The 25,359-nt window shown below is 35.4% G+C and overlaps 1 protein-coding gene across 2 annotated transcripts in view, besides 2 other annotated features; it reads left to right on the plus strand.

Annotated features, from left to right (window-relative positions):
- Window positions 1–25,359, plus strand: part of TMC1 (transmembrane channel like 1) — a 316,690-nt gene that overhangs the window by 149,464 nt on the left and 141,867 nt on the right. For both annotated transcript variants that reach the window (NM_138691.3, XM_017014256.2), the window contains 2 exons: window positions 17,638–17,685; window positions 23,472–23,643. In NM_138691.3, the coding sequence (NP_619636.2) occupies window positions 17,638–17,685; window positions 23,472–23,643 (220 nt within the window). The remainder of the gene's footprint in view (window positions 1–17,637; window positions 17,686–23,471; window positions 23,644–25,359) is intronic.
- Window positions 9,424–10,199: an enhancer, noted in NCBI's record as "OCT4-NANOG-H3K27ac hESC enhancer chr9:75295411-75296186 (GRCh37/hg19 assembly coordinates)". NCBI's record gives its function as "activates a minimal SCP1, AML or CMV promoter by ChIP-STARR-seq in naive and primed H9 embryonic stem cells {active_cell/tissue: H9 hESC(naive and primed)}" and the evidence as "EXISTENCE:reporter gene assay evidence [ECO:0000049][PMID:30033119]".
- Window positions 13,948–14,161: a silencer, noted in NCBI's record as "fragment chr9:75299935-75300148 (GRCh37/hg19 assembly coordinates)". NCBI's record gives its function as "represses an EF-1alpha promoter that drives an FKBP-Casp9 reporter gene in an ReSE screen in K562 erythroleukemia cells {active_cell/tissue: K562}" and the evidence as "EXISTENCE:reporter gene assay evidence [ECO:0000049][PMID:32094911]".

Raw genomic sequence — 25,359 nt, forward strand, 5'->3', positions numbered from 1 at the left:
CAGTAGCCATCATAAGGAAAGAAGACTCAAAGAAACAGATCTGAGTATTTTTATAGTAGGTTTGATGAAGAATGGATAGTCATGGAGAAATATAATGGGGCATATAATACAATGGGGTTATGATCTAATGGTAGTAAACTGGGGGAAATTTAGCTGGGTTTGCTTGTTCAGATTTTTCTCCTTGACCTTTTGTCGTGAGAGACAAGGATGTTTCTTTTCTCTGGGTATAGGGAGGGCACCTCTCACATGAGGGACTTATGATCTGCTTCAGAGAAGTGCCAGGGAAGAACAGAGTGACCGTCCTGCTTCTGCAGTTTTCTCAAATTCATACAGCTTAAAATATTTAACATGCTAAGGTGTTACATTTTGGGGTAGTATATCTTGATACCCATCACCTGAAACCAACCACTTTATAATAGTAACACAAAGAGTTGTACATAATATACCATAAAGGTGGTAAAATGGAATCATTGGAAAAGTCAATTCATCCAAAAGAAGGCTGAAAGAGGAAAGCAAAAACAAAGAAGAGATGGGAGAAATAAAAATTAAATGGTAGGGACATGAGCATCCATTAATTTTGGTATACAGGAGGGGCTTGAGGGGTGTCCTGGAATCAATCCCCCTCAGATACCAAAGGATGACTGTATATTTTTTAAATTAAGAGACTTTCATTCTTTAAATATTCTTGACTTACAGTTTTTTAAAAAGAAAAAAAATCAAAGCATAGTATAGTTGTTAAATCATTTTAATAGTATATTCAGTGGCTGAAATGACAGGGAGTATCAATCATTATTTATTCAATATAAAGTTATCCTTACTGAAAAAATAAGATATAACTGGGAAATATGCTTGGATCCCTCACACATCCACTTAATTTCTTAAAGGAAGAAAGATGAAACACATGTAAGAACAGAAACAAATAAACCATTTACTGTAACATTCCAGGAATTGTGGGATCCTTTTCTTCCCAAGTTTATTTATTTGCTTATCTTTATCTCCTAGTGGTAGTTTGTTTCCTTTGGTAGAATATATGGCAGTCCCACATTGGTGACACCTGGTGCTCCCTTCATCCAACTGGATCACTTTGAGATTCAGTTTTACACCTTTTTAGCATTTTCTTTGTGTTCATATATCAGTTATGATGAGCCACTGATAATATTTTGTTCTAAAACGAAACATATTACTTAGTACTTTTTTTATTGTCTCGCTGACTTTTAAAATTTGAGTGATGTACAGACTTTGTTTTTTTAATGAAATATAAATATTTTCTCATGGTTTCTAAATTCCTTATAAAATTAAATTAATTCAATCTGCAAAAATATTAAATGGTAAGAGAATAAACTCATCACTTAGATGTTCATATTAAATGTAAATGGCCTAAATACCCCAATTAAAAGTTAAAAATGGTCTAATTGAATAAAATACCCATATCCAACTATATCTTGCCTATAAGAAAATATTGCCACTTGCAGTATAAAAATACAAATAGGTAAAAGATAAAAGGATGGAAAAAGACATACTATTTTAAACTAATAAAATATTAATTAATTAATTAGTCAGATTTCAGGACCTTTTTCTGAATAATTGATAGAATAAACAGACAAAAATATCAGTAAGGATACAGAAAACCTCCAAAATATTATCAATCACCTTGAATTAATTAATATTTATGGGGCCAGGCTTGGGGCTCATGCCTGTAATTCCAGCACTTTGGCAGGCCTTGAGCTCAGGAATTCGAGACAAGCCTGGGCAACACACACACACACACACACACACACACACACACACACACGTGTATATATATATGCACACACACACATCAGCTAAAAGCAGCAGAATACACATTTTCTTCAAGAGAACACAGAATATTTAGCATGATATGCTATATTCTAGGCCATAAATAAATCTCAACAGACTTAAAATAATTCAGCTAATACAAAGTATATTCTGTAACTACAGTGGAATTAAGTTTGAAATTAATAGCAAAAGATATCTGGCAAATCCCCAAATATTTGGTAACTAATATCATACTTCTAAATGACCCAGGGTCAAATAAGAAATCAAAATAGAAATTTGAAAGTGTTTGAACTAAATTAAACACACATTTCAAAACTTTTGAGATGCAACAACAGCAGTATTTAGAGGAAAATTTATAATAGTATAGACCTATATTAGAAAAGAAGATCTCAAGCCAGTGATCTCAGTTTCTACCTGAAGAAACTAGAAAAACAAAACAAATAAATCCAAAATAAGCAGAAGAAAGTAAGTATTAAAGACCAGAGCTGAAATCAATAAAGTAGAAAACAGAAAAACAAAACAAAACAAAATTTAATAACACCCAAAACTTGTTATTATACAGATCAGTAAGATTGATAAACCACTGGTCAAGACTGATTAGGAATTTATCAAGAAGAAACGATTTCCTTTTTTTCATACTGTATATGTAGCACCCAAAAATAAATAACTTTAGTATAACATTTATTCATCTAATACAGAAGACAGAAATGAGAAAAGTGGCATCATTACAAATTCTACAGATAGTAAAAGAACAATAAGATAATATGATAAAAAACTCAGGCCAATAAATTTGACAACTTAGATAAATTGCACAAATTACTTATATGACACAATCTACCAAAGTTCATTCAGGAAGAAATTGATAATCTTAGTAGCTGTATATCTATTAAAGAAATTAAGTTGATAGTTAAAAATTATCCTACAAAACGTATTCCAAGCTCTGACTGTTTCCCTAGAGAATTGTACCCAATATTTAAGGAGAAAGTAATTCTAATTCTGCGTAAACTTTTCTAGGAAATTGAAGAGGAGGAAATATTTCCCAACTCTCCCTGAGGCCAGTGCTACTCTATCCAAAACCAGAAAAAGACATTCCAAGAAAACAAAACTACAGACCACTGTATGCAAGAAGCAATCGGAAATTAAAAATTGTAAAATATCATTTAAAATATCAGAAAAAGTAATTATGAAGTACTTAGGAACAAACCTGACAAAAGTGGCTCAAGATTTGAACACTGAAAACTATAAAACATTGCTGTAAGAAATTAAAGAGGGCAGAAATAAATGGAAACCTCATTTGTGAATTAGATAAATTTAACACTGTGAAGATATTAATTTTCCTTAAATTGGTCTATAATTCAACAGAATCTCAATCAATACCTCAATAGGCTTTTAAAAATGCTTGCAAAATTTGACAAGCTAATCCTAAAATTTATATGAAAATGCAAAGGACCTACAAGAGGCAAACTATCTTTGAAAAAGAAGAGTAAGTTTGGAAGACATATACTTGCCCTCAGAGCTCATTATAAAGCTACAGTAATCAAGACAGTGTGAGACTGAAATAAAGATAGACAAAGAAAGACAATTTCTAGGTCATGAGAGTTATGTTTCCTAAAGGAAGGCAGCAGATGCTTATTAACTTTCCCCGTGCCCTCAGGATGCCTTAAACAGTGGTTGCCAACCACTAGCAGCTTTAGCACCACTTGGAAGCTTTTTAGAAAAGCTAATTACTGGGCCCATCCCAGACCTACTGAACCAGAATCTCTGTGGGCAAAGCCCAGGAATCTGTGTTTTCACAAGCTCTCCAGGTGATAATGATGTCCATTAAAGTTTGAGATCCATTGCCTTGGCCTTTCCCTGCTAGAAATCCTCCAGGATTTGGGAGACAGGGGAAGAGGTCTGGAGAGAGTGGCAGAATTCAACACCACAGAATGAAGAGGAAAATTGATGGTCTTTGTCCATGGAATCCATTAAAATATACTCTCATTGCTGCCAGGCTGAGCTGATGAATAAAAAATAAGCTAATCTCAAATCAAGCCATCAGGCTATTGATGATAATTGTGTTTTAGGGTGAGCAAACAGCTTTACCAAGCTCACACAGTTGAGACAATTTGTTGTTTGGAACTATCTTACTGTAAGATCCTTAAGAAGAATGCAGAAGTATGAAAATAAATCCAGGACTCAGAAATCTTTCAACTAAATCTTTAAAATTCTCTCTCTCATGCACACACACACATATGCACACATACACATATAGTAAGATTTCATGACACATGAGACAGGATGTGAAGCTGAACAGTTCGATGAATGCCTGAGTGGTAAGATCACCTTGAAGAACCAGAAGTGAGGGTCTATTCTAGCTGGGTATGAGCTACAAACTCATTTCTTGGGGAACACATGAACACATCGGGGAGGCTAAGTAGCTTCTGAGGCTACTAATAGAATTTCAGTCATTTCTCCTGTCATCTGAAAAATATATGATATTGAATTTCTAAAAATGGGTTTAGTGTAGTCTAGTCTTACTGTCTAAAACTAAGATGTGGCTTATTCCAATAACCAAAGTGATTCCATCCCATGTGAGGGAAAAAAAGGATAATGGTGAATTAAAAGCACCTGCGTGTATTTGTTGCTCCTTTAGAGGAGTCTCTCTTCATCAACGTTAACTTTCTTTCCTACTTTTGATCTGGCTGCTAAAAGTCTAGGTTTAGATCTCAAACCATTGTCCTTCTCTGCATGATGTAATAGTTACAATTACAGTCTCAACCCTCTGGCATTTAATGAAGATGAAATTGATTTCTTTAGACTGAAAACAAAAAAATCACTTACAATCAGGATACTGAATATGGTAGCAAGTACAAGGTCCCAGCTTCTAGTAGACTTGGCAGACTGTCAAGCTCTTACTAAGTGACCCCACCCCATGCCTTTTTGTCTTTTCTGTTGCCACACAATTACAATAATTTGTTCTCTGAATGCCAGAGTACTGACAAGGAAAGGAATTCTGAAGCTGGCTGAGAGAAGTCGTGTAAATCTCCCAATCTAGGCTCCATTGACTCTTGTCTCTTTCTTTGTATGGAACTGATTTTATAATTTCTGTGGCAATGAAAGACTAGTACCCAAAATGACTGCTGGTCCTTTGTTTATTGATCAATCTGAGCATGGACTAGAATTCATCCTCCAATTGGTAACAAGAAAAAATTGGATGGGGAAGCATACCATTGGCTAAGGCAGCACAGCAAGTTTGAATTTGGCTGCCTCTTCTTTCAATATTGGTTGACATCATCAAGAGCAGACATTGGCGTTGGAGTTAAGAGTATCAAGAGAGTTAATAAATACCAATTTAGGGTAATATTTTATGCCTAGTCTTTATCTTTTGGTGAAGTGGTTTCTAATATCATCTCAGACTAAATCTTATGGGATATTTCTACTTGTAGATGCTAAGGTATTAAGAAAAAGCTCAAAGTAGTTGTGTTTTCCTTATCTTCCTAAAAGTTTAGATTAAAGATGCCAAAAATTTGTGTGTTGGTATGTGTCAAAGCATTTGAATGCCCTTGTAGACTATTAAAACCTTTGTTCTGTACCAGGCACTGTATTGAGTATATTGCATGTATTTATTATTATATTTAGTTCTCACAGCAACCGTACACAATAATTACAATTCCTTCCTTTCACTAAGGCATAGGGAGTTTAAATAAATTAGCCACAGTACAGGATGGCATAAAACTGTAGCAGAGCCAAAACTCAAACATGTCTCTGTCTGACTCAAAAACATAGGCTCATTCTCCTAGAGCCAGGCAACAACCTGAAAGCTCTTGAGTTGACTTTTCTAGTTCTGTGGATGAATGCAATCATCTCAGGACCCAGATAAACAGAAGTCCTTCTTTCTTATTCGTATTTCTCAGTACTAGGCCAGTCAGGACAAACTCTGTTCTCCATGGCCGTGATCTTGAAGAAATTGAGATTTCATCCAAAGGAAATCAGGTATTGAAACGTGTGTTTATGTGTATTGATTAATCTTCTGCCTGTTTCTGGAAACATTTGAAGAAATATAACAAAAAGCAAATATCCTGAAACTGCCTAATGAACCTGATCTCTCTCTCTGTCTTTCCCTTTCTCTCTCATAGGTCTTTTGCCTGTATTTCTCTGGTGGAATTTACTAAATAATTATATCAGGTGTCTTCTTATTGTACTTGACTGCTTTCATCAAGGTAATCTTGAGGACAGAGACTTCCTTTGTTAGCCAGGGCACTCTAGGGGAACAGAAATTACACACACACACACACACACACACACACACACACAGGAACTGGTTCATGGAGGCTAAAAAGTCTCAAAATCTGCAGGCCAAAGGCTTGAGAACCCGGAGTCCTCATTGTGTAAGTTCCACTCAGAGTCTGAAGAGGGGAGAAGACAGATGTCCCAGCTCAGAGACCTTTAGGCAGAGAGAGAAAATTCTGTCTTGCTCAGCCTTTGGTTCTTTTCAGGCCTCCAGTGGATTAGATGAGGCTCACCCACATAGGGGAAGGAGTCTGATTTCCTCAGTCTACCAATGCAAAGGTTAATCTCATTCAGCAACATCCTCACAGACACACCCAGAATAATCTTTCACCAAATATCTAGGCACTTTGGCCCAGCCAAATAGACACATAAAATTCACTTCCACACTTTCTTACTAATCCGTGCATTCTCTCCAATACAGGGCACCCGGCCTGGCAAGGAGTAAGTGCTCCATATATATTTACTAAATGACAAGAGATGAGATTATCCTTAGACTATGACTCAGATATAGACAATCAATTATTAATACCCTATCATTTTTCCCCACTCTGACAACCCAAACTGAAAAATGTTGGGATTGCCTTTTTTGACAATATGATTTTCTCTGAATGCAGACTCATGTTTTGACCTTCCCTGTCTGTTCCTGTTTAGTATTCATGCTGGCTTAACTCATTGATTGATCAAGTAACCATTGAGCATCTGCCGTGTTAACACTCTGAACAAGATCCTGTAATATGAATGGTGTTTAGCCTGATGAATAAAGTGTGGTGTCTGTGCATTCATTTTTATATATTTATTGTTTTTAACCAAACTTTACCCATGTAAAGAATAACATTGATGGCAGGAACTTGAATTTGGATCTACGTACATGTTCCATTTCAGACTCACCATGAAATGAGGTGCTTGCATTTTTCATTGCTGATTTTACAATACACTTTCACACCTTTTGGGTAAAATTTTGCAATCAATGTAACTGAGGCAGCATGGTATGAAAGCAACCCTGGAGGTGGAAATAGAAGACTAGAATTTAAATCTTGGTTATGCCACTTATTGGTTGTATGATTTTTGTCAAGTCATTTGACCCGTGTCTATTCAGAGTTTCTTTGCTAGAATGAAGGAGTTAACTAGAATTTATTGATCTCAGTAGTCAGTCTCCTCAGGCACAGATAAATCTTGGATATGTATCCTGAGATAGCTTTCCCATTTCCACATTGAAGACAACATTCTATTTTAGAGCAAAAATGAATTATATTATTTAAGAATATGAGTTTCAGAATTCAGACTCATGCTTACGGGTTTGAATTCTAGTTCTGCCACTTTCTTACTATGCAGACTTTAGCAAGTCAGTTAATGTTTGTGAGCCTCAGGTTTCTCACCAGTAAAGCAGTGTGAGTAATAACTATCATATTATATTATTACAAGCATAAAATGAAATAAGAGTACTTGGCACAAAGAAGGATCTTAATTTTTAGCTTTTTAAAAAAGCTGTATTTGTTTATATGCAGTATGTATATATATATTCTCAATTCTATTATTATAGACTATATTTATTATGTTTTTCATAAAGTCATTAGTTTCACTCAGGAATTAGTTGACCCTTGTGAGATACATGGTTTGACCACTTTTCACTTTGATGTTCTTCAGAAAATAAGACAATTAGAAATCTCTGATTGTAATCTTCATGTAAAATATTTTACAGTCATGGCTAAAATGATCCCAGGAGTGGAATCATACACATAAATTCTTTTCTTTATTCTAATAATGTTACCTTTAGTGTCTATGCCAAGCAAGTATGTTATGTGTTGAGATAAAAATTCTTAGTATGTTTGTATGTGACATTCCCAACTCCCATCCCACTGAAGTCTATATTTACCTAGTTTCTTTCTTTTGTTTTCCTCTAACATTCATGCTATTTTAATCAATGTTCTTTCATTTTGAAGCCCCCAATAAGTTTGACCCCAAAGACTTTCAGTTTGCCCCTGCTATTCATAAGCATACTTATGACAATGCATGTCTCCCATTCTTTTCTCATATTTACACCGATCTTTTTATTGGGACAAATGGGTTTGTTTTTTCATGCTTGTGTTTAATATCTCACTGAGTTCAGCATAAGTTATTAAACATAATTTTCTGTTTTCTCTTTCTCCCTCAAGACTTTCTTTTTCTCTAGACCTTTATTTCCTAACTCCAGAGTATTTGCCCAGGTCTATAGGCCCCTCTCTCTTTTGCTTTCTTACCAACCCATCCACCTTCTTCTGTTTCCTATTGCCCAACTGGCTTCACTTAAACAAGAGCATTTGTTATTTGTACAGAGTGCAACATATAATTGTCCTACTCTGTTTGGTTGCTATAACAAAATATCATAGACTAGGCAGCTTATAAACAACAGATATTTATTTCTCATAGTTCTGGAGGCTGGAAAATCCAATATCCAGGCACTACTGGCAGATTTGGTGTCTGGTGAGAGCCTACACTCTGGTTCATAGACAGCCATCCATTTGCTGTGTCTCCATATGGTAGAAAGAATGAATAAAGTTTCTGGAGTCTTCTTTACAATGGCACTAATCCATTCATGAAGGTTTCATCCCATGACCTAACAATACCATTGTATTGGGGGTTATCTTGCAACATATGAATTTTGGGGAACATAAGCTTTCAATCTATAGTAATGAAGTAGGAAATTTTCCCTGATCCTTTCATGGGCAGGAACTGGAGTATGCCTATTTCACAGAGGTCTTATCAGATAAAAAAATTCTCCATTAAATGGCAAAACAAGTAACCATTTGGGATTCCTGGGTGTACAGTGCCTACTATTCCAAAATGAGATTATTGAGGCTAACATGACCCTTTGTATACAAAGACGGGGGCAGAAATAATATTTCTAGCAAATCCACACATCTCAATCACATTTAATTTCACAAAATTTACTTCTAATAAGCATTGTTCCAACTAACAAACCATCTGGTGCTAGTCTAAGATAGAGATGGCTGAAGTGCTCCTGATTCCAGTATTTTAGGTGTTAAATCTCCATTCTAACATTGTCAATCCTTAACTGGAGTACTCAAATATTAACTAACTTCCTCTAGGATATAAATTAATATGTATACCACATTCTATGTGAATTATTTTAATTATATTACATGCCATATACAAATTATATATAGGTTTAGTCTTCCTGAATATTGCAAGTTGAGTCTGTGAGAGAAAAAATTAGGATGAATTGAGAATAACTAGAATTCAGAATTCTTTTTCATTAAGTGTTGACTGTGTTAACTCATATTCCCGGTTAGGTAGCAAGTCCTATGAAGTGTGATTTTCTCCTAACAGCTAAAAAGCAGAAAAAAAATGGATTTATTCTAGTTAATGACTTGCTTTTTCTATTTTTATAGAAAAAATGAAGTAAATTATTTCACTTTTCTTGATGCTATTACTATTTTGTCAGGAAGATAGATCTTCTAAATTTTAGGAAACTATGAATCTAAGTTCTATATTGCTCTCATTTCCTTTTTCTCTTTGTCTCTCTTCTGTTGTAGCCCCTCCCTCACCGCTAAGCCTTCACCCTGACTCTACCCTGCCCCCACTGCCTTTTGTTCTTTGGAAGACACTCATTAACATTTGCTAATGTATGCTAATGAGCAATAATTAGCATCTCTAATGTGAACAAAAGCAGTGCTACAAAGGAAGGGTAAAGATGTGTACAGAGTTCAGCCAGCCTTTTATGCTTCTTTATGCCTTAGGAACAATCCTCTTCTTTCAGTTCTTTCACAATTCTTTAGTGTTTTTTGTTTGTTTCATTTTGTTTGCTTATCCATGAACCCTGAAAACCATTCTTCTTCTTGAGTTAGAATATTGCAAAAATGCTACGGAGGACAGAAAGATTCCTTTTTGTCCTAAATAACCCAAGGATATAAGCACAGCTGCTAAGAGGTTATAATGCACATTTGTATTTTCATCTGGTTGTTATTTTGGTATCCTATTACTAGAAAAGGTTTTAACCAGAAAACCTCACACAAGATAATGTATTTCATTTTACCACACTTATTTACAGTGGTTGCCCTTTATGGTGGTAATTGCAATGTGAAAGCATACACTCTGAATATATATTATGACAGCATGGTTAAATAAGAAATGTTCCCTCCCTCAAACAATCTAAATGCAAAGAAAATGCAAGACTCACCACTTACTTTTTCATAACCACAGAGGGCTCTAAATGTCTTTGTAAATAGCTATTTATTTATTGAATATGTATAGTTTTTTTTTTGAAAAAGCCAGCCCTCCAAACCACATAGAGTAAGAGCTGTTTTTGTTCTTTCTGTAGACTGATGGTGTCGTGAAATACCTAATTGCAGTTTCTCACAAATACTCCAGCATGTAATTTGCCATTTGCAGAACCAGGCTTCACATTTCATATTTGCTCTTCCAGCTCAGGGGTGGTAGAATTTGGAAACATACCAGCAACCCACTTCACTCAGCCTGTGTTTAATTATAATTTCACGTACAATAAAAGCAGAAGGAAAACGTGCAAAAAAATTGGTGTGCATCCCTTTCCCCTCCTTCTTACGTATATAAAAAAGATTTATTTCCATTGTAAAAGGATAGAATGGGGATCTTTATTTTGAGTAGATTTTCTATTTTTGTTCTTTCTGTTTGCCTCAGAGTTAGTGTCCTCTCTCTGTGACCTCAGAGTAAAATGTGTTTCTCCATAGGCTTCATCCTGTTCTATTTATCAACTATATTATATTTATCAATTATTTTATATTGTGTTTTTAATAAAGCAGACATCAGCAGCTATTTATTTTCTACTTCTGAGGGCCTAAAGAGTCTCAGAAAATGAGTGTAATCTAGAAGGGAAAACATTGAAGAGTGACAGCTATTATAACAGTTGTGATTTTTGCCTGCCTCCCTCTTTTGGATTGGTGAGTCCTACCAAAAACCAAAACTATTATTCTCCTTGTAATTTTGAAACCACAGAGATTGAAAATAACTATTTAGTATCTCCAAGATATTATAATGTTTGAAAATATGACCAGTTTTGGGGGCATTTATTACAAAAGTTTCCAGTAGGGTGTTTTTGAATGTCTGTGCCCTCTGGTTTTCACAAAACTGGTCTTAAGGAAGATAAGATACTGGTACACACAGAAGAAATATCAGCCTACGTCTGTCTCATTAAATCTTATCCCCAGATACTTTGATGATATTTAAGTGTAATGATCTCATTCTGTGTTTCTCACTCCTGATAATTTTTTAAATGTCTTATAGCTTACAGGTTTATTAAGGTATTTGATTTATTTAAGAACTACATAATTATTCTCTTCATTCAATGGCTTCTGAAATATTATGTTTAATTCTATCATTTGAAGGACTTGGGATTGTTATAAACAAATGGCACGAGCTTCTTTTTGTCCTGACCTAGAAGTAGCAAAGATAAAGGGAGCTGCTTAGTTAACCTGAGTGAGATTTAATAATCTTGGGTATATTTTATTCTAGAGTAAGAAGAATTGCACCCTATTACTTTTATTCAGTTTTGTATGCAGTAGCTTCTGTTGTCTACTTCACAACCACCAATAGTGTTATCATAAATTCAGAGTGTTGGGCTGTATTAGCCCATTCTTGCACTGCTATAAAGAACTACCTGAGACAGGGTAACCTGTAAAGAAAATAGGTTTAATTGGCTCATGGTTCTGCAGGCTGTACAGAAAGCATGGCTGCTTTCTGCTCTCCAGCCTCCTCATGGAGGCCTCAGGAAACTTACAATCATGGCAGAAGGCAAAGTTGAGGAAGGAGGTACCTCCTACATGGCCGGAGCAGGAGGAAGAGAGAGAAGGGGAAGGTGCTACACACTTTTAAACAAGATCTTGTGAGAACTCACTATTCCAGGAACAGCAAAGGGAAAGTCTGCGCCCATGATCCAGTCACCTCCCACCAGGCACCTCTTCCAACACTGGGGATTACAATTAGACATGAGATTTTGGCACAAATTTGAACCATATCCTGGGCCATTCTCTATATGGAGATGATGCCTGAATATGATTTGGTGACTCAGTCTAGCATCCAAGTGGCTCATTGTTGGGCAATTCTTCTTTAGTCTTCTTTAGGGCTAATTTTACTCATTCCTTTTGAAAATTGGATTGATTTACTTTTTGTTTGGTTTTAAGAAAGCAAAATATCTAAATGCTGTTCTTGGCATAGCTTATATACATATACATGCATACACATGTGTAATTTTCTTCAGATCAAAATATGCATCCCCATCATTCGTATTGCTATAATCAGAAATTAGTAATTTGAGGGGCAACTGAATGACCTTATACCTAGAGTTTTCAGAGTATAATATTACACAGTGTGTATTCATAAGAATGCTGCCTTTTAAAGAGGTTTTTTTTTAAAAAAATCATAGCTTATTTTTTATAGTTTCACTGGTCTGTCCTCCCTTTTCTCTCTTTTTTTCCCCCTTGAGAAGAGAGATTTCACATTTTTGTTAAGGGGCTCATAATTTCCTTATGAAATATGACAAATTTCACTTTATCTTAAAAGCAAAATATTAATAGTACAGACAGCTGAAGGTGGTCTGAGTTAACCTGAGTTACACATTTTATATATATATATATATATATATATATATATATATATATATGTTAAAAATATTTATTTGTCATATGTAGCAAGACTAAAATGCAAAATTTTGCTTTATGCTTATTCTTTTCCAGTATCATTTACTGTAATTCTCACCCCATATTTATTTTTTTACTTCTCTTTCTGTTTCTCTCCTTTCTCCTCTCATTCTTTTTCTTTCTTTTCTTCTCCCTACCCCATCTTTTAGTTCCATACTTTTGAATTGCTATAGTGGACTCAAATCTAAGCAAGAGGTATATTAGTAAGTTGTTCAGTCTTTTAACAAAGTATCAGTCAGAGAAGCACAGCCCAGGGATAAACCAAAAGCAGAAATAAAACTGAGGAATTAATAATCTAATTCGTGTTGTTTTCTTTACATTATAGGTGGTTCATTTCATAGCCTACATCTTCAATTTCTCAATTCTCATTAGATCTTTCTTAACAGCATATAAGACCATTCTAAATAGCAAAAATAGCTGTATCCTTTTACTCACTGCCCATCAGTTCATAAAGCCACTTGAATTCAGCTTTTTGCCCACACAACTGCACTAAACATATGCCTGCCAAGATCATCAATATCTCTACATTGTCAAATCCAGTGGTCAATTTTCAGTCCACATTGTACTTAGCAACTTATGATACGTCTCTGATGCACATCTTCTGCCATCCACAATCTCTGACTTTCCTTCTACTTAAGAGCTGATTGTTCATTTTTGATTTCTTCAGTTTGTTCTTCTCCTGTTCCTCACCATTTTGAGTCTCCTTTTTCTGTTTTGTTTACCCTCATTTTCTTTGTTATCTCATCTGGTCTTATGGCTTTAAATACAATGTTTTTGCTGATAATTCCCTAATTCATATTTCCAGTCCAGACCTTTCTTCTGAACTCCAGGCTCAAATATTCAACTGCCTACTTAATGTCATGCTTGGATGTCTAGACAGCACCTGAAATCCAACGGATCTGATTAAAGTCCTGATCTTTAACAGCTCCTACCTAAGCTATTCTCCCTACAGTCTTCCATCTTCTTTTCCTGTAATTCCATTCTTCAGGTGCTCAAGCAAAGAACCTGTTGCTATCCTTGATTTCTCTATTTCTCTCACATCCTACAGGGATGACATGGGTTCATTTATGCCTGTCATGCCACTGATTAACATCCCTATCAAGAAAGTTTAGTCTGAGGTAAAAACATCCAATTTGTATGAGAAGGGCCAACATTGACATTCTTCGTACACAAAAAAGAATCCTGAGAAGAAACACAAAAGAGCTAAATAATACATTGCTGTTGCAGCTTAGGTAGGCTGGAGAAGAAACCCATACATAATCTCAAACCTTACTGTTATAAAGTCATTCTTTTTTTTTTTTTTTTTTTTTTTTGAGACGGAGTCTTGCTCTTTCGCCCAGGCCAGAGTGCAGTGGCGCTATCTCAGCTCACTGCAAGCTCCGCCTCCCGGGTTCATACCATTCTCCTGTTTCAGCCTCCCGAGTAGCTGGGACTACAGGCGCCCACCACCACACCCGGATAATTTTTTATATTTTTAGTAGAGACGGGGTTTCACTGTGTTAGCCAGGATGGTCTCGATCTCCTGACCTCATGATCCACCCGCCTTGGCCATTTTTTTTTTTTTTTTTTTAAGAGGGAGTCTTATTCTGTGGCCCAGGCTGGAGAGCAGTGGCACAATCTCGGCTCACTGCAACCTCTGCCTCCCGGGTTCAGGTGATTCTCCTGACTCAGCCTCCTGAGTAGCTGGGATTACAGGCGCCTGCCACCAAGCCCAGCTAATTTTTGTGTTTGTAGTAGAGGCGGGGTTTCACCTTGCTGTCCAGGCTGGTCTTAAACTCCTGACCTCAAGTGATTCATCCACCTCAGCCTCCCAAAGTGCTGGGATTACAGGCGTGAGCCACTGCGCCTGGCCTATAAAGTCATTCTTTTGCATCAAATAGTAAGACTCATTAAAGGCAGTGGTATTTTCTTTTACTGTCTACAAACCCTTATCCAAGAGCATTTTCTCTATATTCCTTTGTGAGCACACAATAAATGGTAATTCAATAAGTGAATTTTCAGTTTCCAAAATAATAACCTGGAGCTATAAACATTGCTTCAAGAAGTAAATGTGGGTCAGAGAAAAAGGCAATACCATTCAACTCTTCTGGCCACTTGGTCACTGTGTTATCCTGAAGAAGCATAAACTACTTTCAGCATTATAGATTTAAAAAGAAGCCCCAGAACAACATCCACTTTTCTGAACGACTCCTATGCCTCTGAAATGTGACATTTTGCTGTTGTTTCTTTTTACTGTTTTTAATTACTGAGTCTATCTGCATGAAATGAGGATCTGGGTTGCCTAGGAGTTCATCTGCTCCTATTGCATATTCCTCTTTTAACTACACATACTTCAATGCAGTTTTGCTTGCTGCCTCCAACATTTTGACAGACTTCCCCTCCTCTTCCTTCACTATCCTCCCATCACTCTCCAGGAGACAAGGTTATTTTTAAAGTGCATGATCAATGGGCATTGGGGAGCAGCTGAGGCATGAAGAGATCATACGATTGGGAATAAGGTACTAGGGACTGCTGAGAGAAGGAATGGCAACATGCCATCTCAGACATTGTCTGAGAAAGGAAAGGGTTTGTAGCTCCCATTCAAGTATTCTGAGCTATCTCTTCACACAGGTTTTTGTCTTGGAGGGAGTTCTTAACATAGTTCTTTAGCATTGCTTTAAGTTGAAGGAGATATAGGCCAGTGCTGATAGTTACTTTTCAGGCCAAATAATGTTCCATTAAAATCGAGCTTGCTCTGAGGATCTTGGTAGTGTCTTAAATCTCCTGGTCATAGTGCTGCTATTTGGTTCTTGATGCTTATGACACCTTTGCTGAGGGTTTGAATCAAGAACAAAACAAGTATTATCACAATGACTATAAAACATGACTGTTCCACGATCAGACAAAGGAATGCTGTTAAGCAAAGAAGGCACCTAAGGAGAATGTGGAGATGACCATGCACAGACCAGAATCACTATTGGAAAACCAACTCAAGAGGAGGGACTGGGTCATTTCTGCAGCAGTCTTCATTGCATCACTGAGAAATTGCAGCTCTGTTTTAGTTCTCTACTTGCCACCACAGGGAATATCTTCCCTTATGGACTTTTAGGTTTTATTTAATGGTTATTTATAAACTATTCCTTCTGTGCCGGAGAAGATGATTCATGACTCTAGCCCTGCTTTTTCTCTCCCGTGGTTATTAGAGGAAACTGAGTTGTTGCTTATCTCTTTAGCTTGGGATACCTTATTCTGCTCTTTTTATTTAATATATAATCTTTCCTAAAGATTTCCTTATATTTTTGTTCATTTAGTAGGTTTTTCTGTTTTATTTAATTAACTTTATATTATCACATTCTAGTGAAATAATCATCACAAATCATCCTAATACATCGTGCAAATGTTTTAAAAATGTGCTTTGGTTGTGCATATCGCAAAGTAGGCTGTGGGTCAGCATTTGCTATTTGTCCTCAGCTGTTTCTTCTTTATATATAACTGATAACACCCTGCTCCAATGTTAATCTTATATCATTAAAATTCTTTCCTAGAGAATCCTTCTTTGACTGAAGAAGCTTAGTGGTGACATTAATTGCAAATAAAAGACCATGACCTATTGTAGAATGTGGAATATCTCCTTAGAAGTGTCTGCCTTCATTATTGCAAACTTTCAGTAGTGACATAAAGATCTTTGTCCTGTGTAGTTTCAGTTGCAGCCAGCAACAGAAGGCATATGTTCACTTTGAACAAAAGAACATTTATTTTCACATTCTGTGGCTGATGTTGAGTGATAACATTTTTGCATATCCTAAAATTTTTTACCCAGATGCTGTTTAAAGGCAAAAAGTGCTTTTACAATAATATTCTTTGTGAATGGAATTTACACTCTTGGCATGTGTTGCCTTTTCAATATGCCCATCAAGTTCTGAATAATAACCTTTGACAGTGAGTGAACAGAAACAAAACCAGAGGTTGTTTCATCTGTTCACAGCAACACTGTTTGTCATCTTTGCTTTTTTGGAAAAATGTCATTCCACCTTAAATAAAAATATGATAAAATTCATGTTTTATAAGCAAGTTAATAGACTTCGATTATTAAGAAATATTTTAATTTTTCCAAGGCAAGAAACCTGTGATGAATGAACATTAAGTTGACAAAAGAAAAAAATATGCCAATAAATATATTTTTTCATATTACTGTAGTGTCAAAAATTTTATAAAACTTTTATATGCCTTTATAAAAATGAAGCAAAGCTAAGAAGAAGATGCTGTATGTGTTATGGGGTGAGGAATAAACAGAAAAAGTGTCCTTTGTCTTGGAAAGAACTGTAAAATCACCTATCTCCATGTTGCCAAAGGGAATCACATATTGGGAAATTTAGGCTATATTAATATAATACGTATAAAAATAATTGAAATAGAAAAGATCTGGCTTTAAGCATTTTTCTAAAGACTTTTTCATGCTTGGTAAAAGTGTTTGGAATAAATTATTCTCTATTTTTAAGTAGTTAATTTGGTTATTAACCTAATTGGTATGGGCATGTGGATATAGCTTTATTAACAATTCAATTTCTCATGAAATAAAATAACCCGACAAACCCCAAGTCTACTTATTGCAATACAGAATTTATTTTGGTTGAAGTTATTTTGAATTGAGCTGATAGCTTATAACTTTGAATTGGGCTTATAACTGTTATGTTTTGCAAATCCCTGAAGATTATGAAATAGAAAAATCTTTGCATGGCATTGTATAAGATGCTGTAGCTGTATATCTTTAATAAATCGTGCTCATTTTGGCAAGTTTATGGAAAAATTGTATTAACTGCACAAAAACATTATGATAAAAACAATAAAAGTAAAAACCACTTACTAACAATTGTACAGGCATTTAAATAATTGCTGTACTGTTTTCTTTCCTCAACAGTACAAATCAAAGTGGAGGAAAAAGAAGACGAGACTGAGGAAAGCTCAAGTAAGTGGTGATGGGCCACTTGGGATACATTTCCTATGGAATACCAGTAAACTCAAAGAATTTATCCTCTTGTGGACTTGAGCTACCATATGTAAGCAGAAGTGTGTGTGGATAACTTTTCATGGTCTCACAGGAGGAATCAAGTTCAGCAAACAGAATCCCCACTCTAGAGTCTATCCAGTTGGCACTATAAGGGCCAAGACTGTGTTCCCTTGATTGCTTGCTGAAAAATCAACAAGCAAAAGACATGTTAATAGGAGAAAAGGCATATAATTTCATAGAACTTGTATTCATTAAAGCCTTAGGATGAAGACCCAAAGATAGAGAAAATTGTCCATTTTTATGCTTAGGTTCAACAAAGTGTGGATAGCAGTGTAGAAATATGATTGGACGAAAAGGGTATAATCTAATGTTTACATAGAGTGGGGAAACACAACAAGGCCTGTCTGCCTAGATTCTTCTTGGCCTCTCTAAGCATGCATTTCTTTCTTCTGGGTATGGGGCAGGGACCCTCTTTGGAATGAGGGTCTTATGATCTACACTCAAACAAGGTAGGTCGGATGATTTCTTGATGACCAGTTTTTACACAGACAGGGCAGAGGGAATGTTAGAGTAGTATTTTTAGGTTTCATGCATTTGAGAAGAATGTTTATTCTGTTGTTATTGGGTAGAATGTTCTGTATATGTCTGCTAGGTCTGTTTGATCTATAATGTTGTTCATGACTGCTGTTTCCTTATTGATTTTCTGTCTAGATGTTCTATCCATTATGGAATGTAATGTAGGGTATTGAAGTTTCCTACTATAATTATATTGCTGTATATTTTCTCTCTTGAGTTTGGTTAATGTTTATATTTAGGTGCTCTGATGTTGGATGCATATATACTTATAATTGTGATATCTTCCTGGTAAATTGACCCTTTTATTACTATTTAATGCCCTTATTTGTTGCTTATGACAGTTTTATACTAAAAGCATATTTTGTCCGATGTAAGTATAGCCACCCCTGTTCTTTTTTAGCTACCATTTGCATGGCCTATCATTTTCCGTTCCTTCACTTTCACCCTATGTGTGTCCTTAAATCTAAAGTGAATCTTTTATAGTTAGCATACAGTTGTTTCTTTTCTTTGGTTTCTTTTTTAATTCATTCAGCCACTTTATGTCTTTTGATTGAGAAGTTCAATCCACTTAAATTTAAAGTTATTATTGATAGAGCAAGACTAACTTTTGCCATTTTGTTCATTGTTTTCTGTCTTAAAGCTCTTTTGTCCCTTTTTTATCTCATGTTATTCTCCTTCATATTTTATTGATTTTTATTATAGTGATATACTTTGATTCCTTTCTCTTTTCTTTTGTGTGTCTTCTATAGAAATTTTATTGTGGTTACCATGGGACTCATGTTCAACATCTTATAATTATAAAAGTCCTATTTTAAGTAGAAAACAATTTAACCTCAATTGCATACTAAAACTCTACACTTCTACTTTCCTTGACACTTAATATTATTGACATCTTGAGTTACATATTTTTATATTATGCATCCATTAACGTATTTTTATAGTTACTGTTAATACTTTTTTACTTTTATAATACAATTAAAAGTTACCAATATACTGTCATTAAAGTATTATAGTATCCTGTATTTGTCTACATATTTACCTTTACCAGACAGTTTTATATTTTCATGTGATTTTGTGTTGCTCTTTAGTGTCCTCTCTTTTCAACTTGAAGAACTTCCTTTAGCATTACTTGTAAGAAAAGTCTAGGGGTGATTAACTTAGGTTTTGTTTGTCTGAGAGTCTTTATTTCTCTGTCATTTATAAAGGACAAACTTGCTGAGCATAGCTTTCTTGGTTGGCAGGTTTCTTCTTTCCAACACTTTTAAAATATCATCCTACTTTCTTCTGGCCTGCATAATTTCTGCTAAGAAATGATAGTCTTATGAAGGTTTCCTTGTACATGACAAGTTGCTTTTCTGTTTCTTTCAAAATTCTGTCTTTGTCTTTGACTTCTGGCAATTTAAGTATAATATGTATTGGTGTGGATTTATTTGGGTTCACATAATTTAGGGTCTGTGGGCTTCCTGAATCTGAGGGTCCATTTTCTTTCCCAGATTTGGGAAGATTTTGGTTATTATTTTCTTTGAATAGTCTTTCTGGCCTTTTCTTTCTTTTATTCTCCTTCAGAACTCCCATAGTGTATATATTGGTCTGCTTGTTGATCCCTCATAAAACTTTCTTGACTTTTTCTTATTCTTTTTATGGTTTTGCTCTTCTAACTATAATTTCAAACATCCTATTTTTCAATTTGGTAATTCTTTCTTTTGCTTGATCGAGTCTGCTGTTAGACCTCTGTAGTGAATTTCTGTTACTCTATTCTTCAGTTATTGTGTTCAGTTATTGTCTTGTACTCTTCAATATTTATCTCTGGTTATTTTTATATTTTTATTTCTGTTGAAACTCATACTTTGTTCATGCATTTTTCTTCTGAATTTGTTGAGCATCTTTATGAGTTATTTTTAATAGTCTGTTAAGTAATTCATATATCTCCATTATATTAGGGCTGGTTTCTGGAGCTTTATCTTCTGTTGTTTGGGGTATGTTTTCCTGTTTCTTTATTTTTCTTGATTTTGTTTGTTTGTTTTGGTATCCATATATTAGAAAAAACAGATTCCTTTCCCAGCCTTCAGGAGAAGGATTAGCCTTGTACAGGAGAAGAGTTTCACCAATGAGGCAGGCCAGAGATTCTTGGGCCTCTCAAACATTTCCTGTGTATGCATCGTCTCTGGACTTGTGTGTGTAAATTCTCAATAAGAGGGATTTTTCAGTTGACTTTTTCTTTTTAAGAATTCATAATCTCTTGTTCCCTCCAGTGTCCTTCTGTCATAACATGTGTCTTCTGAGGAAGCAGCATGTCCTGAGTTCTTTTTTTTGTTTCCAGTAGTCCCCAGGCATCAACAGTATGCTGGGTCCTGTCCATGCCCTGAGACTGGTCATTCCCTTAGGCAGCCTCCTGAGAAGTCTGAACACAGGGTATATATTTCAGTCTTTTATTTCCCATTTCAGGGGCAAGTCAAGGGCTGGAATTCTTGCCAACTGTGTCATGCTGAACTGGGGGAAGGGGCTCTGGTGAATGAGTACAAACTAATTCAAAACTTCACCTTTGTTCTCCATGGCCCTGGGCCATTTAGAATATGCTGGGTCCTATTAGTGCTCTAGGAGACAAGTGGGACAGAAGCCAGTCCAGTCATTTTTTAGAAAAGTTGGAGTGTTAGATGCACTATCCAACTGTTTTTCTCCCCAGAGAGGTGCAGATTTGGTGTTTATCATCTGGTTATTCTGTGCTAAATTGGGGGAGTGGCTATTTGAGTGAGGCATACTATTCAAACGGCTATCTTTGCTCTCATTGGTTCCTAACCAGAGGTCTTTTCCTGTCAGTGCTCAGATTCTGGCAAGACAGAAACCAGTCCTTTGGGAACCTCCAGAAAAATCAGAATGTTGAACACATGGTTCAGTTGTTTTCTCCCCTCCCCAGGGAGAGACTGGGAGATGATGGTTTTCTCCCAGTTGTATGGTATTGTGTTAGCAGAGAGGGATTATGGTGTGAGGGTGTGTCAGATTTTTCTACCAGCTACCTAGCTGATTTTGTGTTCATCTAGGGTTCAGGCACCTTTCAACTAGTTTCCGAATTTCTCACGAAGGGAGCTTATCTCCACATTGTAGTTGAACTTTTATGTCCATGGAGGGAAGGCGGGTCCAGGGCTTCCTATTTTGTCATCTTGTTGATGTCATCCCAGTAGTTTAGTTTTAATACAAAAAATACTAAAATTCAGAGTACCAAGTAGCTGCTTGGGTTTGTGAGTTATTAGTGGGTAAATTGTTTCTTGCCTCCTGTCAAGTTTTTGTCCTTTCTTTAATTAGTGACTAATGTGGCTAATAAAAGCAGGGTAAATATTCAGAATGCCATGATGGGGTTCAAATAACATACATTTGCCACAATATTAAACAAACAGAAACTCGTTCTTGATTTGGATGACAGAATATATATACAGTTTTCCAAGCCCAGTTAGAAAAGTTATTATGGGCCGGGTGCGATACCTCACACCTGTAATCCCAGCACTTTGGGAGGCCAAGGCAGGTGAATCACTTGAGGCCAGGAGTTCACGACCAGCCTGGCCAACATGGTGAAACCCCATCTCTACTAAAAATACAAAAAATTAGCTGGGTATGATGGCGCACACCTGTATTCTCAACTACTCAGGAGGCTGAGACAAGAGAATCGTTTGAACTCTGGAGCTGGAGGTTGCAGTGAGCCGAGACTGTGCTATTGTACTCCAGCTTGGGTGATAGAACAAAATTGTGTCTCAAAAAAAAAAAAAAAGTGAAGTTATTCTGTTTTTTACTCTCTGCTACCTGACATTTAGTAATATATGTAATATTTAGATCTTATACCTGAAATATCAATAAAAAAGTTTTAACAAGTGGTAATTAAAGATAATTTTGAAAAAATAAAATGATGACTCACACGTATGTGAAAAGAACATATTTAACTAATAAAACAACTTGTGAGATGCTATAATCAGTTCAAAGGAACGTCCAAAGAATAGATACATTTATAGATAATAAATATTGAAATGATTGTACAAATGAAGGCAAAGTTGTTTTTGAAAGGGGGCTTGTCTCTCCTTTGGAAAGAGTTCATTTGGATGTCTACAGATAAAAAGTGTTTTGTATTGCTATATATGGTTATGTATAATTTTCAAAGTTGTCATATAGTTCTCATAAAATCAGAATCAGATAACACAGAAAGGTATGCTGCAGATAATTCATAGTTTTCCATTGAAATATAATTTTTTCTCTGGGGTAGCCTCTATTTAAGAGAGTAATGATAACTGTAATATTTAATTTTTTACAGTAGTTTATGCTAAATGTTAGAAGTTAGGAGCAATAGAAATGAAACTGGAATAGTAATGTTATGTTATAAACTTTGTGAAGGAAATTTTATCTTAATTATCTTAATTTATCTTAATTATCTCTCTATTCTTTACCTGGAAGCATCCTAAAAAGTTATGAACACATGAGGCATTCATTGTTGTTGATGATGAAACAAAATAATGCTGTCATTATTCTCAATTTTACATTAAATTTATGTTACCTATTTCTATTCATAAGAAATAAATGATCAAGCAAATGTGTATACTACTTTTTTTTTTAAAGAAAAGAACAAAAATATTGAGGAAAAAGGAGAAAAATATTTAGAATCAAGAATGAAGAAAATTTAAATTGAGAGGAACCTCAAGGGTTGAATGAATTTCTCCAAAATTATTCTAGTTTGTAGCACCTCTTTAACGTTCCTCTTCTTTGTTCTAAGATAGAAGTAGTAATAAATATGAAGTGGTTAATCACTCAACAATTATGTAATGGAATGGTAATCTCTAAACTTGGACTTATTTGAATGGTCTTAGAGGTCATGGTATGATATTAACCACCAAGCTATTTAGTTACTCAAGTAAATGAAGACCAGAACTTCTTCAAAAACTTATTAAAATTTGGGAATCCACATTCACCTATTTGAGTCGGTGAACCACAATGGAAATGGAAATCTAGATACATTTATTTAAATGATGGGCTATGAAATATGTATTCCATGATGCATCCCATCACGATGTGGAGAATTGCTAGACTGTGCTGTCAGATGTGTAATAATAGTTATTAAAAACTAAGAATAAGCTTGGTAGTGGGAGGAAGCACTTTCTGACATTACTCATTGAATCAAGTGCTATGTTTAGGTGAAGAGGAAGAGGAGGTGGAAGATAAGCTACCTCGAAGAGAGAGCTTGAGACCAAAGAGGAAACGGACCAGAGATGTTATCAATGAGGATGACCCAGAACCTGAACCAGAGGATGAAGAAACAAGGAAGGCAAGAGAAAAAGAGAGGAGGAGGAGGCTAAAGAGAGGAGCGTAAGTTAGTTCTGATATTCTTTCAAAAGTTCCAATGCTGAAGAAGATCACTCCTTTCAGATACTCTTTGACCTTAAAATTGGTAATTAAAGCTACTTTTAGAAAGAGAGCCTTAATCTGATGATGCTATTTTATTCTACTTAATTAAATGTATTTTAATGGTTAAAATAGAATTTTAAAATGAATATATATTAAAAATGGACCATGAGAAATTCTCTTATGAAGGATCTGAATTATCATAGGTCGTTGACATATTACAGTTAATTTAAAGATTTTAAAATTTCCCCACTAATTGTATGCATTGTTATCTAGGTTAAGTAGAAACTCCTAAATAGTGAGCAAACATCACTTTATCTTACAGAGCAGGGGTTGGAAAATTATGGCTAAATCCAGCCCAAGAGGTAAGAATGGTTTTTACAGCTTCAAAGGGTCATTAATAAAAAGCAACAAATATGGGACAGAGTTGTACATCTCACTCAAAGCTTAAAATATTAACTATTTGGCCCTTTATAGAAAGAAAGTGTGCTAGCCCTTGTTACAGAGGATTTGGGTTGTCATTTTCTTTTTAATACAACTCAATATCTTTTAGTTCCACCAGGAAAACATTTTAGTAAACGCTGACTTTGTGTAGAATAATGCATTAAATGCTGTTTAGGAAAAATCCAAGAAAATACTTTTCTTCTTTTTGCTTTTTGGAAATTTGCAGATAGCAGGCAGGTAGGAAAAATGTACGTGTAAAACACCTCTAATTAAAGAGAAAACCTAGACCCCTTGGAAAGAATGCAAGAGAACAGCCAACCTGTTCCACAACTCACAGGTAATAGGGCCATGCGAGTCGCCATCAGGTGGTGGAATCTCCTCCAAACACTCCTAGGACTTTGAAGCATGAGGAACTTTCTAAGATGTCCTCCCAAGATGACACACTTCTATACTCAATAGCTCTAACTATTGTGTTATTCCTTATAAATGATTGTCATTAAAAACAACTGAATGAAAAATTTGTCAAGTAGAGAAGCTTAGCATTAACAAAAAATGGTTTCTTTTAGAATAAGAATAACACCATCTACTTCATGTCTAAGTTTTCCTCCTCCTCTTCCCCAGCTTTTCCTTTCTCCCTTTTGAATACCAAGACAAAACTTGCTTTTAAATTTTGACTCTAGTATTTTTTATTTATATCTGCTTTTAAAGTTTCTTTATGCTTTATTCCTTTCAAAAATAAAATGCAACACATTTTATGTCCCATGTATTACTATGATTGTTAGTTCCATTATTATGTAGTAATAGTTCCTATTTAGCAAAGCTTATGCTTTCCAACAGTGGTATTTCATTGAGAAAACATCTCCAATTGATGTATGCATGATATAGGTTGTGTTCCAAAATTTGCTTTTCCTCTCTATTTATGCCGCAAAAAAATCCTTTTAAAAAGATGAGTTGGACAGGAATTCCTCTGCTCTCTTCGTCTGCTGATGGCCCTCATGGCAACTGCTCAACTTCTAGGAAATGGGGCCATGTGAAGCAACTGGATCCTGTGGCTATGACAGTGTCTCTTCCTAGCTGGCCTCACTTTCATTTTGATCTTGAGAATCAAGATCCCTTACCTCCCACTCTTCCACATAACCCAACTCTCTCCATAGGTTTTGCAAATTGTATTTTTGCTGCGACAATTTGTGCATCTATTATAAATAGTATCAGAAATTAGTTGTGATTATTGATAGT

Source organism: Homo sapiens, chromosome 9, assembly GCF_000001405.40.
Source record: "Homo sapiens chromosome 9, GRCh38.p14 Primary Assembly".
Lineage (NCBI taxonomy): Eukaryota > Metazoa > Chordata > Mammalia > Primates > Hominidae > Homo > Homo sapiens.